Source organism: Homo sapiens, chromosome 5 (assembly GCF_000001405.40).
Source record: "Homo sapiens chromosome 5, GRCh38.p14 Primary Assembly".
Lineage (NCBI taxonomy): Eukaryota > Metazoa > Chordata > Mammalia > Primates > Hominidae > Homo > Homo sapiens.
This window is the reverse complement of record NC_000005.10, coordinates 86,876,781-86,895,708: the sequence shown is the minus strand read 5'-3', so window position 1 is coordinate 86,895,708 and position 18,928 is coordinate 86,876,781. Positions and strand designations below refer to the sequence as shown.

Genomic DNA, 18,928 nt, shown 5'->3' with positions numbered 1-18,928 from the left:
CTCTATTTACTAAAGGAAAATAAGAAAGGAAATCCTCTTCTGACTCAGTTTGTTAAGGTTGATAAAGAATGGAGCTTTCCATAGTTTATGCGAATACTCTCTGTAACTTCCCGGGCTCATGGGCTGAGTAGTAATAGGGATTCAGTGAGTAAGGATATTTCTCAAGGAATACCAAGGCCTATGGAAAGGCTCATCTTGGGAGTGGCTTGCTCAAACCTCATTTTCACTTATTTATGTGTGGTTAAATTAAGTGCAATGATGGCCAGAACCTGAACTGAAAGGGGCATCTTTCTGAGCTCCATCATCTCTACATTGTTATGGGATATCCACTCCCTTTGTCTCAATATACTCAGGGACCTCTCTCTTGACAGGTAGATTGTATGCATACATATCAATAATTACATTAGTATTAATATTAACTATCATAGCCCTTAAAACATTTTTAGTTAAATCCCTTCTCTGCCATTGTTTTAGAAAATTTAAAAAGAGAATTTACGCTTTATTTATGTTTTGACTATTAACCTATTTTTAAAGCTTCATACTAGCTTTTCATAAGCACAAACAGTTATTTCCACAGCACTTCTGGACTGCAGAATGTGTCATTACAAAGTATTTTGAGAAAAAAGATAAGGGAGGGAGACTTCTGACATGCTGAGAATTGACCCTCAAAACTTCATCAAAGGACATGTACATTTCTTTTCAAGTTTGGGAAATACTGGTACAGTGAATTTGAACATTCCTGAGTTATCAAATTATGATACAGAAGAATAAGTAATAAATTTCCCCTCAAGGGCCATTTTTTCTTATTTTTGTTTCCCTTTCCTCCCCTCTATGCTTTCCTTCTTATTTTGCTCATCTCCAACTTTACCTGCAATCTCATGCCTCAAGCCTAATCTTGTTTGCCCTGTCCCAATACAATTGACTGTTTAAAAATTTAAAAAATGTTTTAAACTTCACTCAAGTTTTCAAGTGTCCTAGATTCTCTGTAAATTTATACAGATGACAGCCTTCAATAATTTGAAAAATAAATGAAATTCTAGCAAACAAGTGTCCTACTTCTGCTGAAATTTTGCAACCATGCTGAATGGTTTAAAAAGTTAATGCTAACACATATAGTGCAGTTGGGTATGTGGTTGAGATAAACATCACCAGTAGCAATGCCTTCCTTAAATGCCCCCCTCCACTTACCCAATAGTTCAACAGTTGGAGTGATCTTTGCCTGATTCAATCTCAATATATTTATGCTGCTAAACACTCAATGTTAAGTCATCACAGATACCTTTTGCCTTGAGAAAAACTGCTCAATTTATTTAATGTTTCCATGACTTTTATCTGATCATACTAGGAATTTGAGAATTGGAACTAATATGTTTTACAATTTGTATTTATACTGAATGAAATACTTATATGATAAGTCATAGTTAGATCTTGTCTTAGTCTGTTTTGTGCCACTATAACAGAATATCTAAGATTGGGTAACTAAGAATGAACAGAAATGTATTGGCTCACAGTTGTGGAAGCTGGAAAGCTCAAGATCAAGGGGCCAGAATCTGGCAAAGGCTTTCTTGCTGTGTCATCACATGGCAGAAGGCTAGAGACAGGGAGAGGGAGGGAAAAAAAGGGGGCTGAACTTGCCCTCTTATAATGGCACCAATCCCACCCAAGAGAGTATAGCCTTCCCTTATGGGCAAATCTCCTCTTAAAGGTCCCACATCTTAATACTGTTACAATGGCAATTAAAGTTTGACATAAATTTTGAAGGGGATGAACACACCAACTATAGAATACCTTATATGAATAAAGCCTGAAGTATATAAAGCTATACCTTATTTTGACAATAGATGTTAAGTCTCTGTTGAAAATTGGCTTTTCATTTATAGCATGAAGGATTTTATTTAGAATCCTTTCAATGAGCTGGCAGAGTTTATTTAAAATGTTACTTGATTTTCACACTAATTTCATGATGACATGACAGTGTAAAGTTGGAAATACACGTATGAAACATTTCCTAATATGGCAATTCAGTTCTCTATCTTCTCTAAGCTTTCATTTGATTTGATTTACTATGTATGTAGAGTGACATTAAAATACAGAATTACTGTTCATTAGTAATTTAACTTGTCCACAAGTTTCAGTCTCAGATACATATTTTGATCTCACAATGGTCAATCTAATTTTGAGAGGTTAGCAGATGCTCATCTGCTGTACAGATAAGGATTGAGTCCTGTAAAAGACTCATGTTTAAAGTTTGCACTGAAATATTTATAGTATACTTATACTGGGTTATTAAATTTAGTCATCTAACTAAGATGCAAAAATAGTTCTTGTTCTAATCATGGCAGCTTAGATTATGCTGTATAATACAAAAGCTCAAGATCTCAGTGATTTAAAACAACAAATAAACACTTCTTGCTCATGGTATGTGTCTATTGTGGGTTGATTGGTAGTTCTTTTCCCACTTCATTATTGTCCTCATTCTAGGACAGACTGGTGGATTACCCAAATAGTCACATGACAGAAAGAAAGGGAGCTCTGGAAATTCTTGCATTGGTGTTAAATGTTCTGACCCAGAAGTGATATGGATCACTTCTGCTCTCAACTTTTTGGCCTAAACTAGTCATATGGATAAACCTAACTACGAGGAAGCCAAGAAGTTCAATTCTATCATGGGTGGTAATGGTTACCATAGACCTTATCAATCATGTATTTATTCTAATAAAATGCTTAGAATATGCCAATCACTTTTCTGGGCACTAGGGATAGAGCAGGGAACAAGGTAGATATGGAATATACTCCCATATTCTACAGGCTTAGATGTCTCCTATAAACTTACATTCTAGTGTGGCAGATAAAAAATGAGAGAAAGAATAAAGGGATGCATGGATTATTAAGAAAAAATCAGATATTAAAATGAACCAAATAATTATAAAAGGATAATCTCATAGTAAGTGATTTATTGGTACCTTCAGATTGATGAGCAGAGAAAGTCTCTCTGAGGAAGCGACATTGGAAATGAGACCTGAATAGCCATTAAGAGCTGGTCACAGGCTGGGCATGGTGGCTCACACCTGTAATCCCAGCACTTTGGCAGGCCAAGGCAGGTGGATCACCTGAGGTCTGGAGTTTGAGACCACCCTGGCCAACATGGTGAAACCCTGTCTCACCATGGTGAAAAATACAAAAATTAGCCAGATGTGGTGGCAGGCACCTGTAATCACAGCTACTCAGGAGGCTGAGGCAGGAGAATTGCTTGAACCTGGGAGGCGGAGGTTGCAGTGAGCTGAGATCACGCCATTGCACTCCAGCCTGGGCAACAAGAGCAAAACTTCATCTCTGCCCATGCCCCACCCCGCCCCCCAAAAAACATCTGGTCACATGAATATCAGAAGGAAGAGCACTCCAAGCCAAGGGTGCAGCTGTGTGATGATTCTAAGGTAGAAATATGTTTTCTTTGTGTGAGAAGGAGAAGGAAGGCAAGTGTGGAGAAAGCATGGTGGTTGAGGAAAAGAGTTCTATGGGACAATGGTAAAGGTAAGCCAGGGAAAAGTTTTGCATTTTTTTCTGTTTGATGGAAAGGGAAAGGTCACACACTGGAATAGTATAGCTAGCTTACAGTTTTAAAAGATTTGACTGGGTGTTGTGTAGAGATGGAGTGTATAGGGGAAGCAGGGAATGAACAGATTTGAAATATGTTTCCAGGAAGGTCTATAGGTCTTCTTAATGGTTAAATGGTGGATGTTGTTTAAATAAAGATGAACCAAGAACAGTTTCTCAAGATGTTTTGGCTTGAACATTTATTTAGATAGTAAATTTAGTACTAAGATGGGAAAATTGGGAGGAAAAAGAAGCAGATTTGTGAGGGTGGATGAGGTAGGAAGCGTTCTGTTGTGATAATGTTAACTTTCTGATGCTACTAGGCATCCAAATAGACATCTAAAGAGGCAGTTAGATAAGTGAGTCTCAAGACGAGGTTTAGTTTAGAGATATAGATATGGACCACCATGTTAATCAGATGATATTTAAACTCATGGTACTGGGTGAAATACTTAAAATGTGTAGATAGGGGAAAAAGTTACCTGGCACGGAGTCCCAAATCACTCCAAAATTTAGAGGTTGAGCTAAGAAGCAGGAGGCAAAAGAGATTGAGATAAAGTGACCAGTGAGTAGGAAAATAATCAAGCAAACAGTTGTCTTAAATGTTCTTGAAAGATTAAGTAACAGAGTAGCATCCACTGGATTTTGCAATATAGAGACTGTTGTTTATCTTATCAAGAGTAGTCTCCGTGGAGTGGTAGAAGGAGAAGACTAACGAGTATGATGAAGAAAGGAGAGACTGTGAGGTGAAAAAGTGGAGGCAGGACTTTCACTATGAAGAGGATAAAAATGATGCTAATTAGAGGATAATGTAAGGTATTGTGACCACTTTATATTTGGTTCATGCATTTATAGTGAGATTGGTCAGTCTGATTATAAAACTACTCTCCATCAAAGTTTAGTTGTTTGGGTGCTGACAGGGAAGAAGATTGGTAGGTTTAAGAGCTGGGGCTTTGCCAAGAATGTAAGATGGAAGAAGAGATATGTTAAAGAAATAATTTTTTGTAACACAGTAATTATAATGATGAATAATGAGCTCTAAATTGGGTACGCAGAGAAGTAAGAATATGACAGGAACAAAGAATAGTGCTTAGTGGTGAAAAAGCGGTGTGGTGCCGGAGTAAAAATCTTACACCTCAGGGGCAGACAGTCATATAAATAATTAACTATAAAACAATGTGATACATCCTATCTTTAGGCAAGTTTAGAGTCTCAGGGGAATAATTAATTCTGCCTGGGAGTAAGGGCTAGGGAATATATGTAATGCACTTACTGCTCTTTAAGAATTATGCCAGATCTTTAGAGCTGAGGTGACCCTTTTACTATGTAAACTGTAAGTAACCTTTAGAATTTGGAGAACCAGCCACACGCTGTTGAGAGCTTAAGCATATTTTTTCTACAATCCTCCTTTATGCTAGAAACAGAGATGTCAGTTAGGGAATTATTATTGTAATCTGGGCACATTGAGATGCACTTAAACCTTACCAGTTCTCAAGTGACAACTGAGATGAAGAAATGAGGCCCTGTTGAACATTAGATCTAGGGAACAAAAAGAAGGAAGCATTAAAGATGTAGTTTGGAAGGCTGGAAGAAATAGCAATACCATTGTTAAGAAAGAGCACCTGTCTGGGAGAAAAATGGTTGGCATTGGAAATGAGAGATATAAGGTGATAATAAAGCATGTTGTGGGAACAGGTGGAAATATAGAGTTGATGTGCCAGAACTAGAAATGAAGACTGGCAGCTACTAGAATAGGAGTAATAGCTGAACACCGCATTCATCAAGATGCCTCTCTGCCCAAGAAACTGTAATGTCTACCTGGGTTATCAATTTTAAGACTGACATAATAAGTTCCAATCTAGGCATCAAACTTCTTCCCTCACCACTTCCTAAGTCAGCCCAGACTTCTCTCCGTCCTCACATCTTTATGCCTTTACCCACCCTCTGCTTTTGCTTGCTGTTTCTTTCATCTGGAGTGTTTTCTCTCTTTCCTTGGCATATATCTTACCCATCTTAAAACCCACCTTATCCATAAAACCCTACCCTAGGCCCAAATTATATAAACATGATAGATATCTAAATTCTTTCTACAGTTGGGGTTAGTAGTTGCTGTTGTATTCACCCTTTATTTCTTCACGTGGTTAGTTTTATCTTCCCAGATGAAGTTATTGGCAGTAGCAGTGTAACTGAAAGAGCACTCGTCTTGGAATCTAGAGTTCTGACTCCAAATCATATTAAGCTACTTACTAGTTTCATGGTGCAGTGCAAGATATTTTGGAATTTGGTTTTCTTATCTATGAAATAAGGATTGTGGTCCTTAACCTGCAAGTTTATTGTGAGGATTATGTGAAATGATATGATAGAGCTCTTTATATGGACAACAAAACCACTCTAGTTATGATTTTTTAAAAAAATGTGTCAAATTGACTAGGCTATGGTACCCAGATATTTGGTCAAATGTTAATCTAAATGTTTCTGTGAAGATTTTTTTAGATCAGATTAAAATTTAATTAGTAGACTTTTAATAAAGAAGATTACCTTCTATAATGGGAGTGGGTATCATCCAAACAGTTGAAGGCTTCAGTAGAAAGACTGACCTCTCTGGAAGGAGAAATTCTGCCAGCATACTGTCTTTGAACTCAAATTGCAACCCTTCCCTGGGTCTCCAGTCTGCTAACCTACCCGGAAGATCTTGAACTTGCCAGTCTTCACAATCATGTGAGCCAATTCCATCTCTTTTTCTCGCCACAAACACGAGCATGCGTGAACATACACATACACACACACACACACACACACACATACACACACACACACCCTTTTAATTCTGTTTCTCGGGAGAACCCTAATAAGCTAGTTTAAGCAGAAAGGGGAGAGATTTATTATAGAGTATTAGGCAAAATAAAGAAGTCCCAGGAAGTCAAGGGAACTGATTTTGGTTTCTACTTAGCCAAAAACAATAAAGCCAGAAGAAACTCCCAGTTATAACACCTGCAAATTTCTAACTGTAAGGAATCTAAAAATGCAGTTTTTAGCTTACCAGTATTTATTATACAGGAAGGCAGTTTCAAACTGGGTTCATCATGGGGTTCAATAAACTGATTTGCAGTATTTACTCTAGATGGTATACATAGGAGGAATTCGCATTGTGCCTGACATTAGAAGTACACGATATGACTGCAGAGTTATAAGCTTTTTAGTGTAGTGATCACATGTTATTCTCCTTAGCATCCCTCTAAAGTCTCAAACTTCCTACATCCAGGTCACAAATTCTCTGATAAGCCACCTTCACTTTTGTTCTATATTTCTTCTATCTTCCTTCAACATTCTTTTTTTTATTATTATACTTTAAGTTTTAGGGTACATGTGCACAACGTGCAGGTTTGTTATATATGTATACATGTGCCATGTTGGTGTGCTGCACCCATTAACTTGTCATTTAGCATTAGGTATATCTCCTAATGCTATCCCTCCCCCCTCCCCCCACCCCACAACAGGCCCCAGTGTGTGATGTTCCCCTTCCTGTGTCCATGTGTTCTCACTGTTCAATTCCCACCTATGAGTGAGAACATGCAGTGTTTGGTTTTTTGTCCTTGCGATAGTTTGCTGAGAATGATGCTGTCTCACTGTTTTAAAATGTAATTTTTTCCTAGGCAAAATTCCATTTCTGAAATAATATTTTAGTCATTGTTTAAGTAGTGGGCTCGATATCACTGTTTTTATGATAATATTTATATCAAATGTTAGATTTGGTTATTTTCTCATTTCCAGGTCAATGGATTTCAAGTGTGGAATAGACTGATGTAGTAATTTTCACAGCATGTTCTATCACAAAAGCTAATATTGGTGAGCTTGGTAATTTAAAAAGAATAAAAGAGAATAAATGTGTATTTTAATTACTAACAAAGTTAATCAAGATTCAGAGCAGAGAGTAAGAGACTTTGAGTCAATTCAATAATCTCTTCAGGTTTTTTTCATGAAGAAATGAAATTCTTTGTATCTACTTATCTGATCTTTTTTTTGTGGACCTGGTAAGTTGGTTGGTCTGATGAAAGTATTACAGTTGTACCATAAAGGTCTAAAGACAGTCAGGATAATAGTTGAATGGCTAACATAACTGAGTCCTCTATTGCATGCTAGACACCGACTTAAATATTTTACACATATGATTAATTTTCATTCTCACCACAGCTCTATGAAGAGATAGACAAATCTAGACAAATGCTCCCCACTTTACAGATGAGTAAACCGAAGCCCTTGAGGGTTAAGTAACCTGCCCAAGGCCTTACAAGGAGCAGAACAGGATTAGAGCCTAGATATCAGGCTCCGAAGTGGGACCCCCTAACCACTACCTTCTAGTCTTTATTCTTGATTGAACAGCATTATTACTGGAGAACATTTATTTTTGGTTCCTATATGTATGGTTTTTTTTTCTTTTTTTTTTTTTTTTTTTTTTTTTTTGAGACAGAGTCTCACTCTATAGCCTCGGCTGGAGTGCAGTCACGCAATTTTGGCTCACTGCAACTTCTGTCTCCTGGGTTTGAGTGATTCTCATGTCTCAGCCTTCCGAGTAGCTCCAATTACAGGCTTGCACCACAATGCCCGACTAATTTTTGTATTTTTAATAGAGATGGGGTTTCACCATGTTGCTTAGGCTGCTCTCGAAATCCTGACCTCAGGTGATCCACCGGCCTTGGCCTCCTGAAGTTCTAGGATTATAGGCGTGAGCCACCGTGCCTGGCCTCCACATGAATGTTTTTGCTTTAATCAGCAAGACAAATAAGAATTGGTAGACCATGGCGTCTAAAGATTTCTATTTATTATCTATATATGAAAGTTGATCACTTTTTACTTTTTACTTTTTACTGATCACTTTTTACTTTTTCTATTTTTTTTTTTTTGCCATTCACTTTAATGTATTTTAGCTTTTTCTCCCTTTTCCATTCAAATATGAACATAGTATATGTGGTCCTAGACAAGTAGAGCCATCTGACTCCACCAGCCCCTGCACAGGAGAAACTGGGTGTGTATGCTCTGATGGGTGAAGCTGGAGGCTCTTTGAGGAGCAATTGGAGGAAAATTCTGAAAACCTGCCACAGAGGGCAAGCAAGGGAGTACAGTGTATATTTGGGGATAACTGTGTTCATATCAAGTGAAATAAAGGTTGGAACAACAGAGGAGTGTATCACACAATGGATATATCAGAGTGAATTTATTAGATGATTGTGGGAATTTCCTCAATGTGGGAAGAAGAACCTCATTTAAAACTATATTGAACTTGGGGGGCAGGATTTCAGAAAATTTTTGAGTTTTCTTAGAATTATATAAAGCATCATTATTTAAGGAAAAACATTTTAGTATGAAGCTTAAGTCTGGATCTAAATTATTTAATAAGTGCTAAATACATGTCACATACCTACTCTTGTGTTAGGTACTTATGAAATTTATAAAAGACATTTAAAGTCTCAACACTGATTGTAAACTGAAACAAAAATATACTAACAAAATGCCTTTTTTTCTCTGAAAAGTTCCTATTATTTTAAGTCTAAAAGTGTTGGGTTTAAAAAATGAAAGCCTATATGACTAGAAATGAGAAGAGACACTATTTAAATCGTTCTCCCTTCTCTATGTCCTGAGAGATTAATTATCTGTCATTTTCTTTGATAAGTTTACCTGCTTTTGATGATCCTAACAGAAGAAGCATAACAATGAGGAGAGCAAAAGTTTTCCATGGTTGCACTACAGAATCTCCATCTGCAAATTATACGGTTGTTTGAATTAGCTAGTCATTCTTTGTGTTTTCTGAAAAGAGGAATGAAAATGAGAAAGAATAGCAATTCAAAACTATGAATCCACTACTTTTAATATTGCATGTAACCTGGAAATTGAAGTTCTGGGAGTACATTATCAAGAGACTTCAATGCAGAATAAGAAAGGAAACATAATTAATCTCCAGAGGGTAGTTCTCATCATTTAGTTGGCTTGCTGTAGTGGACTCAGACAATATATACAAGTAATGCTGAATGATACATTGGGTGTTTGCCAACCCTTCAAGCTGAATTTTCTGACCTCTGGGAGAAAAAGTCTTTTGTGTGTAGGCTTTTGCTCTTTTTGGAGCCCAGAACCTCGTTTTATCTGCTATCTGTGCCGCAGCAGGAAATACGTCAGTTAATTTCAGAATGTGTACAATGATAACATTGTGAGAGAGATGGTTCAAAGAGAGAATAGCGGAGTTTTATTTTTTTTAACAAAAATAATGTAATATTTTGAAGTTTATCTAAGGAAGAATCCATATGTTCGGTGTTATAATATTGAACTGCTACAAAGTTCTTTAAAATGAACCAAATTTTATACTCCCAGGAAACACAGTAGGAAACAATTGATTTGCCCTATTTTTAACTATGAGAAAACTCTGACAAAGAGGTCAGGTGACTTGCCCCAGAGCAAAATGAAAGAAACCCAAATACTTTGGAATGCCTGGCTTACTGTTATTGATCTAACCATTTGTTTATCTACTTGCCTATTACACTTTAATTATGGTGGCTAGGTACACTCCTAGGTACCATACATTTCATCCACAGAAGGACTATCTTTCCAAGCAAGCCTGATGAGAATAGTAGAGGCTGGCATTCTGAATAATTATCCCTGAAAGCTAGCAAATAGAAGGTATGTTACGTCAGTACAAAAATGAACGAGAGCCGGATGCTGTTTTCAAGACTAAATCGTGATATTCTGGGCATGAAAACTAAAATTGAAATCCCCACTTCTACTTTTATTCCCTCTCCATTCTTCCTTCCTAATTTTTCCGAGAAACCCTAGGCCCTCATGCTGGTACCTCTTTAATCTTAAGGGCTTCCTCCTGAATTTTCTCACTCAGAGATCTGAAATCCTATCTAAATAACTTCAATTCTGGTCTTTATCCCTTCTTTCATCAAAACTTAGCTGTCCTCAGTCAATACCCTCAGGATATTGCTGTGTAGCAGGTGGTCTAATCTGCTAAAAGTGTAAATGGATTTAAACACCTTTCAAACCACATCATTTTTCCCATAGGCTTGTGTGTACCTTAACTACCCTAGAGATTATATCTCTCTGTTACAGATGTCCAGACTGAATGAAAATTTTACTTCCCATCTCCTTTCTCACTCTGGGCCCTTTCCATATTGTTTTCTTTATACAAAATAAAATGTTAAAGAAAAGGCAGACTCTTTTCCGGTTAGCGCGGCGGCAGAAGCCATGAGCAGCAAAGTCTCTCGCGACACCCAGTGGGAGGCAGTGCGGAAAGTCCTGCACAGGAACCAGCGCTAGCGCCACAAATTCCAGGAGACGGTGTAGGTGCAGATCAGCTTGAAGAAGTATGACCCACAGAAGGACAAGTGCTCCTCGGGCACCATCAGGCTTAAGTCCACTCCCCGCCCCAAGTTCTCTGTGTGTGTTCTGGCGGACCAGTAGCACTGCGACGAGGCCAAGGCCATGGATATCCCCCACATGGACACTGAGGCGCTGAAAAAACTCAACAAGAATAAAAAACTGGTCAAGAAGCTGGCCAAGAAGTATGATGCGTTTTTGGCCTCAGAGTCTCTGATCAAGCAGATTCCACGAATCCTCGGCCCAGATCTAAATAAGGCAGGAAAGTTCCCTTCCCTGCTCACACACAACGAAAACATGGTGGCCAAAGTGGATGAGGTGAAGTTCACAATCAAGTTCCAAATGAAGAAGGTGTTATATCTGGCTGTAGCTGTTGGTCACGTGAAGATGACAGACGATGAGCTTGTGGATAACATTCACCTGGCTGTCAGCTTCTTGTTGTCATTGCTCAAGAAATACTGGCAGAATGTCCGGCCTTATATATCAAGAGCACCATGGGCAAGCCCCAGCGCCTATATTTGAATAAACTCTATTACCAGTAAAAAAAAAAAAAGAAAGAAAGAAAAGGCAGAGTGGGAATTTGCACATAGATTATATTGGTTGGAAAGTATTATGCAACCATTTCTTGAGAATTTTTTCTCTCCTTGATTAGGTGGTAAACTCCTGGAAGTAGTGTCTACTGTTTTTGTTACTGTCATTATTATTAATCTTGTTCAACTTTTATGAATCAAAATAATTTTACCAAAAATTAAATTTTGAAAAATTTAATTTCTTGCTATTAAATTCATTTATGTTTTCATTCCACACATATTTATATTCATATATTTACATATTTACTTATATAATTATAATTCATGTTTTTAAATTATTGTGAATGTTTCACTATAATATTATTTTAGATACATGTGGGCATATTGTTAGGTAATGCACGTATCAGTGGGAATTGATCTAAAGTTTATTTTGCATATTCAGGACTTTCAATGACATGCACATAACTAGTGTTCAGTTAAAATGTTTTATTGAATAAATGTTATTCCAGTAGGCTGAACTATATATGCAGGTTAACTGGCCTTTTACTCATTTCTAGCATATTTATTGTTTGTATGTACTGGCTGGAGTTTATCTGTTGGATATAGATGGGGAGTTACTGAGTTGTGGGAAAACCAGAAAACAAGGCAGGAATAATTAGAAGAGTACTGATGTGCACCAGAAAATGTTAATCAGGCCGGGCATGGTGGCTCACACCTACAATCCCAGTACTGTGGGAGGCCAAGGCAGGAAGATGGCTTGAGCCCAGGAATTCGAGACTAACTTGGGGAACATAGTGAGACTCTGTCTCAATAAAAAATAAACAAGAAAATGTTTAATCAGATTACTACTGTGTTTGCAGAGCGTATACATTTTCAAACAATGGTTTTGAAAAGACTGCTCTGATATATAAAGTTGGGAAGTGCTGCTCAGATATATAAGATTTCCCAATTAATTCCTTTTCCTCTATCTTTTCGATAATTTTTTAATAAAACTATCCTCACGATAAAAATTATGATGAATAATTGTTTTGATTCTCTGTAGGGGCACTATGAATACATTAGAACAATAAGCATAAACTATGAGAGGCTGGTGGTAAACAGAGGCAAATGGTGACCCTCCAAGATATCTTGTAGACATTTTACCTGCATCTACACAGAGAAGGCAACCATTATCAACCTTATATAAAGTAGGGGAAATATGTCTGCCCTCATAACATTTGTGCTTCAACTGGCTAGATATTAATATGTCTTTGAGTGTGTAAATGTCCAACCCTGGTAAGTACATATATTAAAATGCCCTGAAGAACTTTGCAGAATCCTGAGTCAACAACTGGACAGACGTAAGACAGTGGTTAAGAGAATGGGCCTTGGTATGAGACTTAGATTTGAACACTAGTTTCTCCTTTTACAGTTATGTGATTTTGGCCTATTAAACTCTCTGAACATCAGTTTTCTCATCTAAAAAATGGGGATGATAATAATGGTACTTGACTCACAGAGTTGGCCTGCTGATTAAATGAAATAAGGCAGTAAAGGAACTTAGTAGAGTATCTTATGGTGTGTAATGGGTGGTCAAACATGTTAATGTTGGGAGAGGCAGTTGTCATGGGCCACGAGACTCCCTGTCTTTTCCTGCAGGATGTATTCAAAGTGCAAGACCCTGACTATTTTTTATCTGGACCATTTCTCAGGGTTTCTATTAGATACCCTTGAGGGAGAAGTAAGCTCTCCCCTTCAGGACAAAGAGCAGGATTGCTTACTGCTTGCTCTAAAATGCAAGGTGTTCCTCAGCTACAATGCAAACCCAGCTTATATATGTAGCATTCATGTGGACCCTCTTCCTCACCACCCTAACCCTGGGGGCAAGAGGAACTAAAGCAAACATGCGGATGCTCATGCTACTTACTGAACTGTGAGTAATAAATTCTTTTGCCTCTGACCCATTAATCTTGTGTCTCCTGCCAGTATCCTTGAAACAGTAATAGACTAACTTATTAGTTTGTAAGGAGGGTAAAATAAAATTCTAGACCCAGTAGTTTTAGAGATAAGGATAGAATATTGAAAGAGATTGGCTTTCTGGCAGAGGAAGGATAAGAATCCTAAAAGTTGGGTTCAGAGGAGGACTCCTGGGACTGGTAGTGAATGTACTCACTCCAAGATGTAGGGAAGGATGGAGGAGGCAGAGTAAGGGCCTTTCCTTGTCCTAACTGTTAATGAGCCTAGGCAGTGAGAGATAAGGTTGAAACAAGCTGCCCAAAAGGTATATTGGTTATTGTTTACTGTCCTCCAGGGAAGAGGACAAAAGATTGCTACCATGACAATGAAGCAATAAGCCCTGAGGCCCCAACTGAAAGGCAATGTGGCTGTGGTTGTGGAGCCTAGGAATCCAAAAAGTTGAAATAAATGGTGTCAGCAATGATGACCTTGCTATTTGACGCAGACCTTTGGTTGGGCTAAAAATATTGGAAATTTGTTTTTCTGAGCTGCAAATGAGTGGCTGCTGGAAACCTAAAATAAGTGCAAAACTGTTTCTAATGGTGCAGAGCCAGCTGCTGTAGCATATCTTATCCCTGCTGCAGCCCAACTTGGCTGCCAAGGAAGACAGAGCACTAAGTGCAGGGTGACCAAAGGACATGAGGGCTGTTAGGTGGGAGCCACAGTGGGCTGTGCAGGTGCAAGAAGGGGTCCCTAGTCCCAGACACTCAGATGCTGGGAGGTACACAGGGAAGGAAGCATAACTGTGCTTAGGCGCTAATTCTGGAGAGATCAAGGGCAAAGAAAAAGCCTCCTTATCTTCCCTGTTTCCTGTGAGACACTCTCTGCTGCCACACTGCACGCCATGCATTCCTTGCTGGGAGACAATGTAGTCTCCTGGCAGTTGTTGCTATAGCCCTAACTCACATACTTGTTAACTTCTTGGTCTATGTTTCCTTAGGGGAAAATGGTGCTCAAATTCAACCCATGGGAGTTTTGATGGGACTTATCTTTGTTAGTGACATTGTGGGTGGGGCCCAGTGGGCTAATTCAATGTAGTGATTTTTGTGTTCCCACATCTGAATTTAAAATGGAATGGTGTAGTAGATGCCTGCACTTCTCCATCCCCTAAGTGCCAGAAGGCACTCTCTTGCTCAGGGACTGCTGCACCTACTGTCTCCTGCAGGGTGCTCTAGCAGAAAACAATCCTCACAATTATAGACTTGAAAGACTATGGGAAGACTCAGGCTATTTCCCAGTGAAACAGCACCACCTGCCTGATACAGGCACCAAGTACATCCCTTTTGAAATGCAGCTACTGGCCTGTGCAAACACTAGGCTCTTGAAATGGAATGCCTTACTCACAGGGACCCCGTGTGGCTTTTCTGCTTAGTATCTCTCACCCAAAACAGGAGTGGGTTAACTTGAACTCATGACTAACAAGATAGGTGGGAACCCACAGGCCTCACTAAATGGAAATGGCATATTCATTAGTGCAGCTAGCCTGGCCCGAGTGTCATCTCAGTTTTACATTAAAATGGAATTAAAGTAGCTGGAACAATGGGATCCTAGATTCAAAGAGGCTTCACTAAATGATTGGGCCTGGTGCACTGATAATTCAGCTTTAGCTGGACACCTGATGGTGTCCACTGAGCTGCTGCCACTCACTGTTCAGCGTCAAGGTCAGCTATGTGAAACCAAAAGCAGACACAGTCAATCCTCTTGGTAAGCAAACTTAGGGCAGTCCTCATAGCCTTGGTCAATCCCCCTTTGTTCAGCTTTGCTACATTTCTGTTGACTCCTGGGTCGTTATTAGTGTCAGAGCCATCTGGTCTGTCACTTCGAAGATCTCAGACAGGGAGATTAAAGACACTCCTCTTTAGAGCCAAGTAGCTGATAAACCCTGTGCCACCCAGGTCATCATGACAGCAGACATGACAACACAGCCACCATCATGGACTGGGCACATAGTAAAGAATTCTATGTTTCTGATGCAGAAGCTACCAATGTATATTAGACTTTTGATTTCTGTGAAAGTTAACTCATTTGTTTTGCAGAAAAAAAGAAAAAAGCCACATGATGCGCTGGCCCTGTTTACTCCTGAAAAATTGCATGCATTGACCCTTGACTCTCTCTTGGAGCTACTGTTGGTGTCTTACCACTGTTAAAACTTTTTAAGGTTTTCATGTTACTGTCTCATCTCTGGCAACATTGCTGTAGGCTTTGAAATTAAACTGTGTCACGTTTTCTGCTTTCCAGCCCACCTGGAGTTGAAAAATAGTATGCCCTTAGTACAAAAGGTTAGTCTAAAATGGGCTATTTATTTTTTTTTTAAGACGGAGTCTCACTCTGTTGCCCAGGCTGGAGTGTAGTGGCACAATCTCAGCACACTGCAACCTCCACTTCCTGGGTTTAAGAGATTGTCCTGCCTCACCTCCCGAGTAGCTGGGACAACAGGCACCTGCCACCATGCCCGGCTAATATTTATATTTTTAGTAAAGAGAGAGTTTCACCATATTGGCCAGGCTCGTCTCAAACTCCTGACCTTATGATCTGCCCCTCTCGGCCTCCCAACATGCTGGAATTACAGGGATGAGCCACCACGCCTGGCCTCAAAATGGGCTAATTATTAAGGGCCATTTATCTGATGGACATTCCACATTCTACACCATCTACAGGCATCTGGTATTGTTGAGCACTAGAAAGACTTCTTCAAAAATCAGTTCAAAGATATTTCTGACTCCCCCTCATCACATCCTCCTACTTGACACATCTTAGTAAGGCAGTTTGGTCACTGAATGCTGCTGTCCTTAGAAAATGTTCATCTCTTTTTGGCTGTGTTCAGGGTAATGTTTTGGAAAAAGACAGTAAGAATTATCTAGACCTATTTTGAAAATTCAGGACTCCTCCTGACTACTCCTGGGCATGCTGCTGCTTTTTTTCCTCTAACTGCAAGCAAATCTGCTATGTGTGCACTCTCCATCTGGCTCTCTGCATTACCCCCCATAGGAAGTAGAGCAAAACCAACATATCATGCTGATGCTCATCAACTTGCTGTGCTGTGAATACTAAAATTATTTGTTTTTGAGCCAGGAGTCTTGTGTCTTCTACCAGAATCTATGAAACAGTAACAAATTAATTTATTAGCATGTAAGGGGGGTAAAAATCAAATCCCAGACATCACAGTTACTGATAATAAATTACAAATTTCTATTCTTAGATCACAGGTCTGAAATATAGGTGGCTGAAGCCTTCGCAGTACCATACCAAAAGTAGACTTAAAGTAGACATGTGTCTAAACCTTACTCTCAATAAGAAGTAAAATCAGTGAAAACTGCTTTTATTTTGTCATCCTACTTTTTTTTTAAGCCAATGATTGGGTGCTATGTACATTAAAGAGAATCTCCTATGAAGGTCAGCTCTTAAATTACAAATTTTATGAATGTGAAAGTGAGATGTTGAAGTTCGGGAAAGCTCTTCTGTTATTATCTACTCAAAATTTGTGAAGAAGAATTCTGCCAAGAAGTAGATTCACAATTGAAGATGCTTAAATTAAGACATGGAGAGATGATCATAAGAGAATGAGTATTTAGTAATACCTGGGATTTTGACTAAGCATATATTTTCATAAGAATTCTGCTTTTCAAAAAGAATTTATCTTCTTACAGCTAAGATTGCACAATTACATATGTGCCTTTGAAAGAAAATAAACACTAGACCACTTAAGGTCTTGAAAAATGTCTGAAGTGCTTCCTCATTGCTGTTTAAGCTGTGCAGTCTCACTGTCCTGCTGTTTACCACCCACTGGCCAATCAATTACAGTCAATCAGCAAAGAATAGCAACAGTTACCAACAAGAGAGATGACATGCAGTTTAAACTGCTGACCCATGAGCTGTCCATGAAAGGCACAACCCTGAAGAAATACATATTTGATTCCTATTTGGATTCTGTGATTTATTGCCTTCATCACAAAACATCACATAAAGGGTGAGGTTCAATTAGAAAGAGACAAATTTTGTTTTCATTATTTTAAAAAAATATTAAGCCAAAAGTTATTTGATTCAGGAGCATGGTTCATCTCTATCTTTGCAATTTCTTGGGTATGTCCAAGCCAAGTGATGATAAAAGCTTGTTTGTTCTAGTGAAGAGTCAAAATCCTTCGTTCTGATTCTAGGTTAAGATCTTTGTTTTCTTATTGATTTTCCTCAACTCTCCCTGACATTAGTGAACTATGAACTTGGTTTGGCAACCTATAGGTGAGGTACAGAACAGAAAAGGGGACTTTTGAGCTCAGAATCCAGTAATCATTTTGACTTGCTAATGAATGATAGATTTAAACTTCCAGGTACACCCAATAAATTATATACATACATACATGCATCTATACATATATACAGACATACACACACAGTTTTACTCACCTATTGTTTGATGAGTTTTTATTTGTACTTAAGTATTAGATTTTTATATTCTTATATAAATTTTAAACTTCTAAATTTACATAGTTTAGGGTCACTTACCTTTATTGATTTCTTTCTTTTATGCCATATCTATTATTTGCAAACTACAACATAAAGCTTTATGGGAAATGAGGAAAGGAATAATATAATCATGTGATCCTAGGATTTCCCAGGATTTCCCAGGATTGTATTATCAGGAAAGGAAATAATACAAGAATACCATGCCAGGTTAATGTCAGAGGTAAATATACTATAATAAAGATGAAGCAGCATTGTTGTCTGGGGTAAATACCCGAGGTTCATTGTCCCACACCAGGGAAATCGGGGACGCAGACACAAGAAGTAAGTTTAAGAGCGGATGTTTAATAGGCAAAAGAAAAACAGAATAGCTTTCTCTCCTGCAGAGAGAGAGGAGCGCCTGAGTAGGTCTTCCGTTTTTGTGGTGAAATGCATGGGGTTTTATAGACAGCTTGAGGAGGCAGTGTCTGATTTACACAGGACCCAAAAGATTGATCAGACCAGGTATGATGTTTGCGTAGTGCACAAAGAAACTGGCCATCCCACCCTAATCTTCTATTATGCAGATGGGTTCTACCTAGCTGGTGCCATGTTGTTTGTTCCTTACTGTGGGTTCTCCACCTGGCTGGTGCCATTATGTTTTTTCCTTACTGTACATGTGGTTGACAAAGAAAAGAGAAGATGGAGCCACTATGTTGAACATGCCTGGTCCCCAGGTAGCCAATTTTCTATTGGCTCAGCTGCCAGCATTTACCTATGAAAGCTTTTAGCTTGCTTATCTATGCTTACAGCTTGACTTCTCAGGCTGCTTTCTGTTAGAAAAGAAATCATTTTGGGGTTGCTTTTTATTAAAAGGAAAACTTATGGAGGACTCTCTTACCCTCACTATCTGCCTAAATAATTTCTTTCTAGCTCCTGTATCAAAGAAACCAATGAAATAATGTAAGATTTAGAAAGTAAAGAGGTCACTTTTGGCTTTGGAAGTG

At 38.5% G+C, this 18,928-nt stretch overlaps 1 pseudogene, besides 2 other annotated features; it reads left to right on the top strand.

Moving 5' to 3' along the window:
- Positions 10,794-11,499, top strand: RPL10AP9 (ribosomal protein L10a pseudogene 9; annotated as a pseudogene).
- Positions 17,028-17,562: an enhancer, noted in NCBI's record as "OCT4-NANOG hESC enhancer chr5:86173964-86174498 (GRCh37/hg19 assembly coordinates)". NCBI's record gives its function as "activates a minimal SCP1, AML or CMV promoter by ChIP-STARR-seq in naive H9 embryonic stem cells {active_cell/tissue: H9 hESC(naive)}" and the evidence as "EXISTENCE:reporter gene assay evidence [ECO:0000049][PMID:30033119]".
- Positions 17,555-17,724: an enhancer, noted in NCBI's record as "experimental_86917 CRE fragment used in MPRA reporter constructs". NCBI's record gives its function as "activates a minimal promoter by MPRAs in K562 erythroleukemia cells, with activity observed for both the introgressed and non-introgressed 5:86173887 variant alleles {active_cell/tissue: K562}" and the evidence as "EXISTENCE:reporter gene assay evidence [ECO:0000049][PMID:34662402]".